The following is a 15895-nucleotide window of genomic DNA, read 5'->3' as shown; positions in this document are numbered from 1 at the left end:
ACTCCTACTACCTACCGGGTGCATCACCTCCATGCCTCATTTAAGTCTCAAGGAGACCCTGGATGTAGGTGTTAATATTCTGTTTTTAAAGATGTGAAATCTGAGGATCAGAGAGGTTAAGTTATTTGCGTAAGATCACACAGCTAGTAGTAGTAGATACAAGAATTGAATAGAGGCAGTTAGTTGCCAAATGCACAGCTCCGTCTACTCTAAAACTGTAACCTAGATGTCAGGGGGACGTTGTCAGTCTTCCACCATTCCTGCAAGTTCCCAGGGGGCTCCTCCTCGTGGTCTCTTCTGTCCTAAATGCTTCTGAGTCTGTGTGAGCTGCCTCTGTTCCATCCCTTAGACACAATGATAAAAAAGCCCAGGCACCTCACCAGTTACATAAGGTATCTACTCACACCAAGCGTTTTGTGGGGCTAGGAACTTGACTAACAGAAGGTTTAGGGGTGAGATCACGAGCTGCAGTGACTTCCTCCTCTCTCCCCCTCCCATTCTGTTCCTTCCCCAGCTCACCCAGTGGGCTCCTGCTTTCGGAACTTTTGTAGAAAGTAAAGCAACCACACTCCATGACCTCTCTCCACGCACGCTAGAGCTGGGAGCACGCCATGGATGAAACACACGGTGAGATGCAGCTCAGGCTTCTCTCCGGGGGCTTCCAAGCAGCCCCACAGAGTTGTTCCAAAATGGAGTCACTCATACTTAAATTCCATGTCACCAAACTGAAACGACGTTGTTTATCTGACATTTGAGAAATCAGAAGGGAGATCCAGTTGTAAGCTATGTGGTAAGAAAGTCCCTCTGCTTCAATCCTTGTGAGGAAGGCAGCCTGAGGTGACCTGATGCCACCCCACCTCTGGTTTGTCTTATGCTATTTCCTTGTTCCTGCTCAAGCTGCCTTACAAAAACCAACTCTTCTGCCCACGGGGCAAAGCACCTTTTCTGTTTCATAGCTGGGTACATCATGACTCATGAATCAAAAACAAAATGGCAACAAGTTTAAAGATCGAATTGGCAAAGGCCAACTTTTTTTTTTTTAATTTGTTTTTGACAGAGTAAAAATCACCTTGTCCTTGAAGAAAAGCATCAAATGAGCCATTTTGTCTAAACTGCCAAATCCGATCTCAACTACACCACTATGGCAATAAGGCACTGATCAAATTTTCCTTTCTGGACATGGCCAGTTCTAACCAGAGGGGAAGGTTCATCATTTAGGGGAGAAAAATGATACAGTATTTGGGACACAATTATACTAAAAAAAAATTATTTGTTGTTTACTTGAAATTTAAATTTAACTGGATGCCCTATATTTTATCTGGCAACCCTAAGAAGGAGGCATAAGAAAGGGATTATGGCCGAGTGTGGTGGCTCATGCCTGTAATTCTAGCATTTTGGGAGGCTGAGGCAAGAGGACTGCTTGAGGCCAGGAGTTTGAGGCTACAGTGAGTCATGATTGCACCACTGCACTCCAACCTGGGTGACAGAGTGAGATCCTGTCTCAAAAAAATAAAAAAGGAAGCTTAATTTCATGGAGCTAATTTTCATGCAGGATATGCTTAGAGATTCAGAACTTGATCGTGTTTCCAATGCACAACTGTTTTGGGAGAGAAATAGTTTCTTAAATCCTTTGAGTTCATTTTCCATGAATTAACCAAGTATTGAAAACTTGGGTGAAGAGTGTTGTGTTAATTGGAAACATTGCTATCACAATCTCCAAGTATGGTTTTTAAGTAAGCCTGGGAAATTGCAGTTTGAAAATGCCATTAGCATCAATCAAAATGAAACACGAGCGTGACACCCAGGAAATGCCCTGGGAGGGCAGAGGGGAGAGAAAGAGGGAAAAAAAAAAAAAAAAAGGCAAACTTTTCTGCCTAGAAGCTCTCTGCAGCTTCGGGCATGCCACAGAGGAGGCTTTCTTGCCTCTCCACCTGCAGGAGCCTCACCTGAGAAGACAGAGAGCAGCTGCATCAGCTCCCGATATGAAAAAGTGAAAACAAACAAGCCCTGGGAAAATAGACATCATATAAATGTTTAATGTGGCTGCATTAACTACATAAAGGCATGCTCATGCTTTGTAGACAAAATAGTTAAAGTCTAATGCATGGCAGTGATCAGCAAATTATTAAATTGTGCAAGTGCTGATGCTCCCGTTTCCAATTTCCTAATGTTCCTGATGCCATTACAGGTAAATGGTGCCGGCCCCATGTGCACAGAGGGATCTTCACTTGCTTTCTTTTTTTTTTTTTTTGGTTTCCAAAGCTAATGGTTTTTCCCATTAGCCTTATAAAAGTAATGCATGTTCATGTTTTAAAAACTTCACAAAAGCTAGCTTGAAAAATATAATCCATAATCCCCCCTGCTCCCCAGTACTCACTTCTAATTCCAGATGTATTTCTTTTCTGTCTTTTTTTCTTTTTTAGGCACAGTTTTGCTCTGTCGCCCAGGCTAGAGTGCAGTGGCATGATCTTGGCTCACTGCAATCTCTGCCGCCAGGGTTCAAGCAATTCTCCTGCCTCAGCCTCCCAAGTAGCTGGAATTATAGGCACCCACCACCACGCCTGGCTAATTTTTGTATTTTTAGTAGAGACAGGGTTTCACCTTGTTGGCCAGGCTGATCTTGAACTCCTGACCTCAGGTGATTCACCCACCTCGGCCTCCCAAGGTGCTAGGATTATAGGCGTGAGACACACTGCACCTGGCCCTTTTCTGTCTTTTTAAAAAATGTCATTTTGTATAGAGCATACACTACTGTGTTCTGAGGTTTTTTTTTTTTTTTTTTTTACATTACCAAGAATTCCTTTTTAACATAATTTTAAATAGCAGCAGCATACTGGAAATAAATTAAAGGTATGATTAGCAGAAAAATGTATAACAAATGATCCTAAATATTAGCTAGAAGTGAGCCACAAATGCACCAGCTCTCTGCTAGCTGAAGCCAAGACATCCACACCACTAGTTTACAGGATTCATAATGTTTGTAAAATAAAACACAATATGCACTTCAGGGCCATGTTTTTCAGATATTGACACCCAAGGGGGAATTTTCTCCATGAACCCTTCTTGGGAGGATCCATTTATTCTACAAATAAGCCTGCATATGAGAGATAAGAAGGACACTGATGGGATTCAAGGCACACTACCTCAAAGTACAGCATGTTAGCACATTGAGTATTTTAAGCCAAAGAACTATAGGCCTGGTGAGATGGCTCACGCCTATAATCCCAGCACTTTGGGAGGCAGAGGTGGGAGGGTCCCTTGAGGCCAGGAATTTGAGACCAGACTGGGCAACATAGCAAAACCTCGTCTCAACCAAAAGTTAAAAAAAAAAATGACCCGGGTATAGTGGCATGCACCTGTGGTCCCAGCTGCTTGGGAGGCTGAGGCAGGAGGATCACTTGAGCCCAGGAGTTCGAGGCTGCAGTGAGCCATGATTGCACCACTGCACTCCAGCCTGGGCAACAGAGTGAAACCCTGTCTCTTAAAAAAAAAATATATTGAGGTGTGGCAAGTGCAAGAAGAGCGCTCTGACCTTCCCCTGCACTCTGACCTTCCCCTGCACTCTGACCTTCCCCTGAAGCAGGCCACAAGACCCTCATGTGAGAGGTGCCCCTCTTCTGAAGACACAGGGGCACGGAGAGGAATTGAACACACAGGACTTGCTAAATTTCCCTCAGTTTACTCATCCCCTTTAACCTACCACATCCTTCCATGGCTTTCTCATCTTTTATCAAACAGCATAAAAACACACAGGTTTAACTGTTTCTTCTGGTCTTCATGTCATTTGAGGGCTCTGTGTCATGTAAAACTTATTAAATAAATTTGTTGGCTTTTTTTTTGAGACAGAGTCTCACTGTGACACCTAGCCTGGAATGCAGTGGCACGATCTTGGCTCACTGCAAACTCCACCTCCTGGGTTCAAGCTTTCCAAGTAGCTGAGACTACAGGCACAAGTCACCATGCCCAGCTCATTTTTGTATTTTTAGTAGATACGGGGTTTCACCATGTTGGCCAGGCTGGTCTCAAACTCCTGACCTCAGGTGATCCGCCTGCCTTGGCCTCCCAAAGTGCAGGGATTACAGGCATGAGCCACCACGCCCGGCTGACTTTGCTCTTATTAATCTGCATTTGGTTACAGGGGACCCAGCCAATGAACCTAAGGTGGGTAGAAGGGGAAGATGTGTTTTCTTCTTACAACACGTTCATCCAACTTTCATTCTCATAGCACACCCATTGTCAGCTGCAGGTAGCAGGTCATAAGCTCTTAAAGGGGTGGCCTTTTCTACAGATTCCAGAAGATACAAGAAAATCAGCATCATTTTTCTTAGGTTTTTTGTAAATACGTAGTATCATTCTCTACCCCTACTATTGTGATTCTAGCTTTAATGCCTAAAAAAACCCAAAAAATCAAATAATCACAAGCTCATATTATGTACAAATTTGAAAATATAAATGTGTTCATAATAGTATTGTTTATCATGGCAGAAATATAAAGTAAAAATCACCTAAGTGTTCAGCAGTAAGAGAGTTGGCTAAGTAAATTATGGAACATGCGTACAATCCTTTTGGTATGTGAAAAATTATTCAGCCACAAAAAGCAACTATGATGAAGAAAATCTATTGATGTTAATTTTAAAAAAAGAAAAAGCTGGATACCAAAGTTTACGTAACAGCGATTCTTAGATTTTACATGAAAAGGGATTGGAGCAAAATTAAAAAATAATGATAGCCAAGATGACGAGGGAGTGGGCGCCTTTCTTCCTCTGTTTTCTTAAATTTGGGGTTGTCTAAGTTGCTTTCCTTGTTGCAAGTAATCCTATTTGTTGTTGTTGGTTGGTTGGTTTATTCTCTCTGGTTACTTGTTGGTTGTCAAGTCAATGAATGAAACTTCCAGTTCCCTTAAAAGCACTGCAGCCTTCTCATGCATCCACTTCAAGCAGGCTACAAACCTGACTCAGATGTGAGGAGCTGATTGTGCCAGTTGCAAAGCACTGTTTGTTCCTGAGCAAATGATTTAGGACAGTTATTATTACTCAGAAAGTTTATTTGCACAGACCTCACTGTTGCAGCTCATAAAAACGGGCTCTTGATAATACTACATGGAAAAAGAACAAGCACAAACAGGGCAGAATTGGAAATGAGCTCTGGCCCCTGCTGGCCCAGCAAGGAGGAGGGAGGGTGGGGCCTCCCAGCCACAGGTCCCTTCATGCAGTGACTCAGAGGTGCCCTAACTAACAAAGATCTTTCCTGCCTCTTCTACTGGCTGAAAAGCATGTTGGCACCTTGCAGTGGGGCAACAGAGAATTAGAAGAAGCTGGGAAGGGTGAGGATCTTAGAAGGAGACACTAATTTGAACATAGGTCCTGGAAAGTAGAAAGTTAACCATCTAATTTAATGGATCCAAAAATGGTGCTAAGCTTGAACTGGATTTGAGGTTGTGTTTTTGTACCAGCATGTCATTCTGGTCTTGGAGGTACATCCAGAGGTGATGTTTTTGGGCTGGAAGGCTGATGCTACTAAGTGGTCCTTTGCAAGGTGGAATAGAAATCCAGCTAGAGGTAAGAAACACAGGCCCAGTTCTGGAATCAGAGGTCCAGTCAGACAGGCCAGGATCTGGGTAGGGTGTTGAAAGGCAGTGCCAGGGGTGAGAAACACAGGCCCAGCTCTGAAATCAGAGGTCCAATCAGATGGGCCAGGATCTGGGTGGGGTGTTGAGAGGAAGTGCCAGAGGTAAGAACCACAGTCCCAGCTCTGGAATCAGAGATCCAATCAGACGGGCCAGGATCTGGGTAGGGTGTTGAGAGGAAGTGCGGTGTAATAGGCAGAGGGAAAGCATTGGTGCCTCAATTTCCAGCCCCTCAAGGCTGGTCACAGAATGCATTATTGTTCTCAGCTACTGGCCCCCTCCCCCTGTAAGGTGCCTGTGCAGTACACCATGAGCACAGCCACAGTACCTTTTGTGGGTGGAGTCAATGAACCATCCTGCTGAGAATAGGCTTGGGGCTTGGGAAAGTGACTTGCTTTGGCCACTGAAATGTGAACAGAAGTCATACAGGGAGCCAGTTCCCAGCTGAACTATTAAGGGCTATTGTCAGATTTTGGGGTTTGTTTTGGTTTTGCTTTCTTGCTTTCTCCTTTGACATGAGGACATCACTCCCCGCAAATCAGCTGCCCCAGTGGAATCTGCTTGTGGGAAATACACGGAGCAGAGCCACAGCCAACTTTCTGCCAACCTGTAATGCATGCAAGAAATAAACTTCTGTGGTTATAAGGCAGTGATTTAGGGGGCTGTCCTGTTTCCAGAGACTTACCTTGAAAATGCTGTCCCTGGCCAGGTGCAGTGGCTCATGCCTGTAATCCCAGCCCTTTGGGAGGCTGAGGGGGGAAGATGGCTTGAGTCCAAGAGTTTGAGACCAGCCTGGGCAATATGACAAAACACCATATCTACAAAAAGTACAATAATTAGCCATGCACGGTGGTGTGTGCCTGCAGTCCCAGCTACTCAGAAGGCTGAGGTGGGAGGATCACTTAAGCCTGGGAGGTTTAGGCTGCATTAAGCCATGATCATGCCACTGCACTCCAGCCTGGGCAACAGAGTGAGACCCTGTCTCAAAAATAAAAAATAAAAAAAAAATGCTGTCCCCTCTGATGAAGCACTTCACGGGGCTATTTCATGTGGCTCTTTTGAGAAATGAACAGGGAATGCATTCAGCCCCCCCAAAAAAAATGAATGAGAACTTAAGGGCTGCTCCGTCTCTTGGGTACCACATTTCTGGTGATTAAATGGGAGGGTCAGTGGTGAGAGTTTCAACAACTTCTGTTTTGTTTTTCTCTAAATTGTCATTTCTTTTCCTCCTTGAAAAATATTGATCTAGAAATGAAACTGTTAACACACATGCATTTTTTGATGTTTTGGAGAAACCCAATGTTCCGGAGGGAAAAGGCACTCATTGTGGTTGAAATTACCCTCTTTTTGCTAGCCTGAGCATGACCTCTCTCAAATGAGAAATTGCACAATGCTTCCAGGCCTTCCAAGCTCAGATTTACTTTTCACAAATAGCTGAGCTAGAAAAACCTGCTTCCATCTAGTACAGCTGCTTCTGCAAGGGGACCCTGCAGCTCTGTTTGCTTATGTAGGGAAAATGTTGCCCCACAAAGCTCACACATTTCTCCCCCCACAGTTTTAGGTGTAATTGTCTCCTCTCTCTCTCTAGCTCCTTATATTATGTTAGTTTAAGCCTTCGTTACCTCTTGCCTGGAATCCTGAAATTGTTTTAGGGCTGATCTCTCCCCAGCCCTGTTTCTTCTACACACTCCTGCAAGGTTTGTGTTCCTAAAGCCCAGCCCTACTAATCTTCCTTGGGCAGAAATCTCTATGCACCCTATCATTATTAACATGGCCTCTTTCTCTGGGTCTCAGCTGTTCTCTTCTATACTTCCTGCCTGTTCAGAAACTCTACCGTGTATTTGGAGTCAGGCATTTTCCTGCGTTACAGTCTTTACTAAATCTTTCCTAATCTGTAATCAAAAGTAATTTCTCTCACCTCTGAAAGTAACCTTAGCACTTAAACTTCATTCTAGTAAACTCTAAAATAATTCATAATCATGGTGGAAATGTTGGAAATTAAATTATGGAGAAAGCAGTAAGACAGAAACATAACGACACCTGAGGAGATAATCAATGTCAACATTTAGTTACTTTCCCCCCTCTGTGATAAAGACTAAAAGGCATTGGCAGGAGAGAGAAGTAAAAGTTATCAGGGAGTTGGTGGTGCACATTGGGATAGTGGCACATTAAAAGGCAATAGGAAAATCAAACATTTAAAGTGATTGAAATTGAAAGATGTCCATATTATTTGGTCCAAAATTTCTGCTCCTCAGAATTTATCCTATGGAATTAATAGCCTAAATATCTAAAGGTATTGGTTTGAGAAAGCTCATTACTTTTAATAGCAAAAAAAAAAAAATTGGAAACAACCCACAGTTAGATCGGTTGGGAATTAATTAGCTCAATTATGAAATATCCATTCAGTGAAATACTATGTCATCATTAAAAGAAGGTAAATTGCAGATGAGAATATGTAGCATGATCTAATTTGTTGTGCTGTTTTTTCCAAATGTGCATATTATTTTTATTTATCTGAAGTCAGTTCTAAAGTTCCTTGCTTAGATTATTTTGACAAAATATTTCATATGCATAGAAATGGTTTTAGCATGACATATATTGATTATTAAAGGTGGTTAACTCAGAGGAATAAAATTAGGAGACATTCTTTTTCTGATGCATACATTTCTATATTTTATAATAATAAGTAAAATATGGTTGACTCTTTGTATCTGTAGCTTCTGCATCTGTGGATTTAACCAACAGCAGGTCAAATATTTAAAAAGTAACAATAAATAGTTGCATCCATTCTGAAAATGTACAGAATTTATCTTGTCATTATTTCCTAAACAATACAGCAAACCACTATTTACAAAGCATTACCATTGTATTAGGTGTTATAAGTAATCTAGAGATGATTTAGAGTGTACAGGAGAATGTGTGCAAGTTATTTGCAAATACGACATCATTTAATATCAGGGACTTGAGTATCTGTGGATTTTGGTATCTGGACGGGGAGGAGGAGGGTCCTGAAACAAATCCCCCATGGATACAGGGGCAAATGTACCATAGTCCCGTGCTAAGACAACAATAACAAAAATTTATGACGAATTGTTTTGGTGGATAATTTATATGTTCTCTAAAGGACTTATTTAACAACATAAAGGCCTCTTAGAAAACAAAACTGTATATTTAAAGATGCACATAGAAATGGGGTTAATGTAATAAATTAAAAGCAATGAAATACAAAGTAACACTGTATAAATGCTTGTCTTGTTCAGTTTTAGTAATGTTACAGGAAAGGGGGATCCCGATCCAGACCACAAGGGAGGGTTCTTGGATCTCACGCAAGAAAGAATTTGAGGTGAATCCATACATTGAAAGAAAGTTTATTAGGAAAGTAAAGGAATAAAATAATGACTACTCCACAGGCAGAGTAGCAGCATGAGGGGCTGGTTGGCCATTTTTATGGTTATTTGTTGATTATATGCTAAATAAGGAGTGGATTATTTATGAGTTTTCCGGGAAAGAGGTGGGCAATTCCCGGAACTGAGGATTCCTCCCCTTTTTAGACCTTATAGGGTAACTTCCTGAAGTTGCCATGACGTTTCTAAACTGTCATGGCGCCCGTGGGAGTGTCTCTTAGCATGCTAATGCATTACAATTCGTGTATAATGAGCAATGAGGACGACCAGAGGTCATCTCGGTTTTGGCAGGTTTTGGCCAGCTTCTTTAATGCAACCTGTTTTATCAGCAGGGTATTTAGGACCTGCATCTTGTGCTGACCTCCTATCTCACCCTGTGACTTAGAATGCCTAATCTCCTGTAATGCAGCCCAGCTGGTCTCAGCCTTATTTTACCCAGCCCCTACTCAAGATGGAGTTGCTGATTCCAACGCCTCTGACTGTAATGCTTTAAGTTTTGTTGTTGTTGTTGTTTTGTTGTTTGTTTTTGAGACAGAGTCTCATTTTGTCACCCAGGCTGGAGTGCCGTGGCCCAATCTCAGCTCACTGCAAACTCCGCCTCCCAGGTTCAAGTGATTCTCCTGCCTCAGCCTTGCGAGTAGCTGGGATTACAGGCGCCTGCCATCACACTCGGCTAATTTTTGTATTATTTTAGTAGAGACGGGGGTTTCACCATGTTGGCCAGGTTGGTCTCGAACTCATGACCTCAGGTGATCCACCCACCTTGGCCTCCCAAAGTGCTGGGATTACAGGCATGAGCCCCCATGCTTGGCCACTTTAAGTTTTTACTTCCCTTTACAAGAGGGACTCTGATTGCCTCCAGGTCCAAGGAGGCAGCAGCCTCCAGTGGGAAAAAAATCAATGGCTCTCAGCATGCTTTCCTCCCTGGGGCCTGTTCCCTGATGGCCGTAGAGGTGCCCGTCATCTGCAAACTTAGTGTGCTATTCTACTACTCTTTGGACACAGTCCTTGGAGACACAGGTTCTATTTGCCTGAAGCAGTCAGGGTCTCTTCTAGTCTAGATGTTTATCACAGTTCGACAAGAATTTGCATCAAAATATAACAAAGGTAAATAAACAGGGATTGCTCCTGGGTTCACCCCAAGTGACCAAGTGAGAGGAACGTGGACCTTCTCAAAAGCCAGGTCTTATCGCGAATGTCAGAGCACTCTCAGTGTGGTCGTGATCTGCAGTTGCTCAAGCATCAACTTTTCAATAATAGAGACTTCAAAGAACAGAACAGTTGTCAGCCCGTGGAATCCAGCCTTCCTCATCCAAGATGCCCTGCTAATACCTCTTCTGCTTTGCCCTGGGTTGCTGGTTCCTGCTCAGCCAGGATGGACTTCTCAGCTGTATCTTCTCGGGGCTTGGGACTTGAGGAATTATGGGGAGCTGTATCTTTCTTCCGAAAGGAAAAATCACCCTCAGGTGTTTTTTGTTGTTGTTGTTGTTTTAAGCAGAGTTTAAAAATAGTTCTTTGTGTTGCAGAAAACCTCTGTCACTTATGTTGTTTGTCCACAAAACAATTTCACACCGAGGATCTCATAGTTTAAGCCTGTCCAAGTTTCCTGAAGTGCTTCCTGATAAGTCATTTTTCACATGCAACTCTGTGAGAGCTCAAATTCATTCTTTTCAATGGTGATCTTTTCTGAGTTGCTGCCCCACCTCTGGGGTTGAACATTCACTGCAGAGAGCTTTTCAGACGCTGGATTGTGGAGCTCATTAGTGCTGCTTCTAATGTTTGCTAAAAACCTCAGCAAAAGGGAAGACGGGCAGTAAATATTTCTAAAGCTTTTCTGGCTACAAAATTAATGGCAATTTCTCAAGGGACCTGCTGAGATTCCCTTTCAAGTGTCTTAGTGACTCAGCATTCACAAATGTTAAGCAGGGCTCAGACCCAGCCCTTTGAAGTCTCCCATCCCACAGGTTGGAATGGCAGTGTGATTTAGGATGGTCAGCAGGGGGGAGAGCAGTAAATGGACCTTGTCACCAAACAAATAAACGAAACCAGCCGGGCCAGATCAGGGCAGCTTGGTGCCTTTTACACCTGGTGGATCCAAAGGAAGGGAGTCCCAGGGCAGAATGGATGGATGCAGAATGGCCGTGATGTGCTGGGATGAGAAGACAATTCTTTACAGAAGGATCAAAGCCATCATTTTTGTTTAAAGCTTCTCTCAAGGAAAACAATTTTTTTTTTTTTGAGTTTAGGAAGAGAGTAGGAAAAGAAACTCTGGCTACGTCAATATTCAGTCCTTTCTTTCTTTTTTCTTTTTTTGAGAAAGAGTCTTGCTCTGTCGCCCAGGCTGGAGTGCAATGGTGTGATTTCAGCTCACTGCAACCTCCGCCTCCAGGGTTCAAGCGATTCTCCTGCCTCAGCCTCCCAAGTAGCTGGGATTACAGGCACCTGCCACCACACCCGGCTAATTTTTGTATTTTTAGTAGAGAGGGGGTTTCACTATGCTGGCCAGGCTGGTCTCGAACAACTGACCTAAGGTGATCCACCCACTTTGGCCTCCCAAAGTGCTGGGATTACAGGCGTGAGCCACCGTGCCCAGCCTATATTCAGTTATTTCTACTTGCATTTCCTCACATAAGCACAGACAATGGGTCTGGTGATGAAAAGAGTCCAACTTTGTAGAATATTTGAAGAGATTCATTCTGAGTCAAATATGAGCGACAATGGCCCATGACACAGCCCTCAGGAGACCCTGAGGATATGTGCCCCAGGTGTTCGGGGAGCAGCTTGGTTTTATACATTTTAGAGAGACGTGACCTGTCAATCAAATACATTTAAGATATATTAATACATTGGTTTGGTCCAGAAAGCCAGGACAACTCCAAGGGGTTGGGGGAGAGAGAGCTTCCAGGTCATAGGTAGATTATTTATTTATTTATTTATTTATATATTTTTATTTTTATTTTTATTTTTTGAGACCAAGTCTTGCTCTTGTCCCCCAGGCTGGAGTGTTATGGTGTAATCTCGGCTCACTGCAACCTCCGCCTCCCAGATTCAAGCGATTCTCCTGCCTCAGCCTCCTGATTAGCTGGGACTACAGGCACATACCACTACGCCCGGCTAATTTTTTTGTATTTTTTTAGTAGAGACGGGGTTTCACCATGTTGGGCAGGCTGGTCTCGAACCCCTGACCAGCCTGGGATTACAGGCGTGAGCCACCACACCGTAGATGTTTCTTATCAGAATTCAAGTCTGTGTTGATGTTAATGCCAGAGAAGTATAGTGAGGCATGCCTGATCCCCACTTCTGTCAGGGCCCAGACCAGTCTTTCAGGTTAAATGTAGAGCACGCTGGCCTAGAGGAGGAAGTCCATTCAGATGGTTGGGGGCCCTCACATTTTCTTTTTGGTTTACAGGTCCTTAGTCAAAAGCTCTTTGTGACCTCCCCTTTGATGTTCTCACCACACGCAGACTACATGCATCTGCATGGGATGCTGAGCTTTCTCAAGCTCTGCCCATTGGAGTCATGACAAATTGCTCAAAGCTACCATCTTCCCAGAGGCTTTCTAGAATCTTGATGAAAACTGACCTATTTCTGATACTAGAGTCATTTCCCGGACCTCGGATATGTAAACTGTGAAGTCAGTAGCCAAGAGAGAGGCTGAAATATTGATTCAGAGAGAACAAGTCATTGACATGTTGGCTTTAGTGCCTTGTATGGGCTACCTCTATTGTAGCATGTCCCAGCGGGACACCTGGGAGATGCTACACACACCCACATGGACACACCTACTCCTACACTCACACGCAGACACACATACACAAGCCCACTTCCCCCACACATACCCCACACCTCATGTACACATGCAGAAACACAAGCACTCACACCTCCCATACTCCCCCACCACCCATCTCTCACACATGAGGTTTCTCTGCTCAAAGAAGTTTGGAAAATCCTGCAAACAAAATATAATTTCATTTTGCAGTTGACAGTTTATGGTAACAACTCTTAGTAGTCCCACCATAAAGAAAGCTGTGTAGGTTTGCATCAGCATGATCCAAGGGCAATGTGAGGCATAGCCCCTTTTCCTACAGCCTCTGTGGTTTTAGGAAAATCCATTTAGAAACTGGTATAACAGATAGTGAAATACAACTCCCTTCCTTCTTGGACTTGCCTTTTGTTTTCTGACTTAAAAAAATTGTATCATCTTTCCCTGAACAGACCAATAGTGAGATCTGCAATTGAATCAGTAATAAATTGCCTACCAACCAAAAAAAGCCCAAGACCAGATGGATTCACAGCTGAATTCTACCAGAGGTACAAAGAAGAGCTGGCACCATGCCTGCTTAAACTATTCCAAAGAATTGAGGAGGGGGGACTCCTCTCCAACTCATTCCATGAGGCCAGCATCATCCTGATACCAAAACCTGGCAGAGATACAACAAAAAAAGAAAACTTCAGGCCAATATCCTTGATGAACATTGATGAAAAAATCCTCAACAAAATACTTGCAAACTGAACCAAGCAGCACATCAAAAAGCTAATCCACTGTGATCAAGTAGGCTTTATCCCTGGGATGCAAGCCTGGTTCAACATACACAAATCCATAAATGTGACTCATCACACAAACAGAACTGAAGACAAAAACCACATGATCATCTCAATAGATGCAGAAAAGACTTTTTATAAAATTCACCATCTCTTCTTGTTAAGAACTCTCAATAAACTAAGTTTTGAAGGAACATACCTCAAAATAATGAGCCATTTATGAAAAACCCACAGCCAACATTGTACTGAATGGGCAAAAGCTGGAAGCATTCTCCTTGAAAACCAGCACAAGACAAGGATGCCTGCTCTTACTACTCCTACTCAGCATAGTATTGGAAGTCTTGTTCAGAGCAATCAGGCAAGAAAAAGAAATAAAGGACATCCAAATAGGAAGAGAGGAACCCCCTGTTTGCAGATGACATAATTCTATACAGAAAACCCCATAGTGTGGGTCCAAAACTCCTTCAGCTGATAAACAACTTCAGCAAAGTCTCAGGATACAAAATCAATGTACAAAAATCATGAGCATTCCTATATACCCACAACAGTCAAGCCAAGAGCCAAATCAGAAATGCAATCCCATTCACAATTGCTACAAAAAGAAAAAAAAATTACCTAGGAATACAGCTAACCAGGGAGGTGAAAGACCTCTACAATGGAATTACAAAACACTGCTCAAATAAATCAAGAAATGGTACAAACAAACAGAAAAACATTCCATGCTCATGGATAAGAAGAACCAGTATCACTAAAATGGCCACACTGCCCAAAGCAATTACAGATTCAATGCTATTCCTATCAAACTACCAATGACATTCTTCACAGAACTAGGAAAAACTATTTAAAAATTCATATGGAACCAAAAAAGAGCTGGAATAGCCCAGGCAATGCTAAGCAAAAAACAAACAAAAAACAAAGCTGGAGGCATCACATTATCTGACTTCAAACTATACCACAGGGCTACAGTAACCAAAACAGCATGGTAGTGGTACAAAAACAGACACATAGACCAATGGAATGGAATAATGAGCCCAGAAATAAAGCCACACAGCTACAACCATCTGATCTTTGGCAAAGCTGACAAAACAAGCACCTGAATAGGGAAAGGACTCCGTATTCAATAATGGTGCTGGGAGAACAGGCTAGCCATATATGGAAGATTGAAACTGGACCCCTCCCTTACAACATATACAAAAATCACCTCAAGATGGATTAAAGACTTAAATGTAAAATGCAAAACTATAAAAACCCTGGACGCCAATCTAGGCAGTACTATTCTGGACATGGGAGCTGGCAAAGATTTCATGATGAAGACTTAGAAAGCAATCACAACAAAAGCAAAAATTGACAAATGGGACCTAATTAAAGAATTTCTGCACAGCAAAAGAAACTATCAGCAGAGTAAACAGACAACCTACAGAATGGGAGAAAATACTTACAAACTGTATACCTGAAAAAGGTCTAATATCCAGCATCTGTAAGAAAAAAACAAATTTACAAGAAAAAAAAAACCCTTCAAAAGTGGGCAAAAGACATGAACAGACATTTTCAAAAGAAGACATACATATCTGCAGCCAACAAGCATATGAAAAAAAGCTCCATATCACATATCATTAGGGAAATGCAAATCAGAACCATAATGAGATATCATCTCACACCAGTCAGAATGGCTATTACTAAAAAGTCAAAAAATAACAGATACTGGTGACGTTGCAGAGAAAAGGAAACCCTTATATGCTGTTGGTGGGAGTGTAAATTAGTTCAGCCATTGTGGAGAGCAGTGTGGCAATTCCTCAAAGAGTGAAAAAAAGAGCTACCATTTAACCCAGCAATCCCATTACTGGGCATATACCCAAAGGAATATAAATCATTCTACCATAAAGACACATGTACATGTATGTTCATTGCAGCACTATTCACAATAGCAAAGACATGGAATCAACCTAAATGCCCATCAATGGCAGATTCGATAAAGAAAATATGGTACATATACACACCATGGAATGCTATGCAGTCATAAAAAAGAAAGAGATCATGTCCTTTGCAGGAGCATGGATGGAGCTGGAGGCCATTATCCTTAACAAACTAACCCAAGAACAGAAAACCAAATACTTCATGTTCTTACTTAAGTGGGAGCTAAATGATGAAAACACATGGACACAAAGAGGGGAAAAACAGACACTAGGGCCTACTTGAGGGTGGGAGGTTGGAGGAAGGAGAGGATCAGAAAAAATATCTATCGGGTACTAGGCCTAGTACCTGGGTGATGAAATAATCTGTACAACGAACCCCTGTGATGCAAGTTTACTTACATAACAAACCT

At 42.5% G+C, this 15895-nt stretch overlaps 4 annotated features.

Annotated features, from left to right (window-relative positions):
- Positions 5404–5903: an enhancer, noted in NCBI's record as "H3K27ac hESC enhancer chr2:235276881-235277380 (GRCh37/hg19 assembly coordinates)". NCBI's record gives its function as "activates a minimal SCP1, AML or CMV promoter by ChIP-STARR-seq in naive H9 embryonic stem cells {active_cell/tissue: H9 hESC(naive)}" and the evidence as "EXISTENCE:reporter gene assay evidence [ECO:0000049][PMID:30033119]".
- Positions 5904–6405: an enhancer, noted in NCBI's record as "H3K27ac hESC enhancer chr2:235276379-235276880 (GRCh37/hg19 assembly coordinates)". NCBI's record gives its function as "activates a minimal SCP1, AML or CMV promoter by ChIP-STARR-seq in naive and primed H9 embryonic stem cells {active_cell/tissue: H9 hESC(naive and primed)}" and the evidence as "EXISTENCE:reporter gene assay evidence [ECO:0000049][PMID:30033119]".
- Positions 10193–11392: an enhancer, noted in NCBI's record as "CDK7 strongly-dependent group 2 enhancer chr2:235271392-235272591 (GRCh37/hg19 assembly coordinates)". NCBI's record gives its function as "activates an origin of replication core promoter dependent on BRD2, BRD4, P300/CBP, MED14 and CDK7 cofactors, with strong dependence on CDK7, by STARR-seq in HCT116 cells {active_cell/tissue: HCT116}" and the evidence as "EXISTENCE:reporter gene assay evidence [ECO:0000049][PMID:35650434]".
- Positions 10365–11095: an enhancer, noted in NCBI's record as "OCT4-NANOG-H3K27ac hESC enhancer chr2:235271689-235272419 (GRCh37/hg19 assembly coordinates)". NCBI's record gives its function as "activates a minimal SCP1, AML or CMV promoter by ChIP-STARR-seq in naive H9 embryonic stem cells {active_cell/tissue: H9 hESC(naive)}" and the evidence as "EXISTENCE:reporter gene assay evidence [ECO:0000049][PMID:30033119]".

The sequence above is a fragment of the Homo sapiens genome, chromosome 2 (genome assembly GCF_000001405.40).
Source record: "Homo sapiens chromosome 2, GRCh38.p14 Primary Assembly".
Lineage (NCBI taxonomy): Eukaryota > Metazoa > Chordata > Mammalia > Primates > Hominidae > Homo > Homo sapiens.
This window is presented reverse-complemented; position numbering and strand designations above follow the sequence as displayed.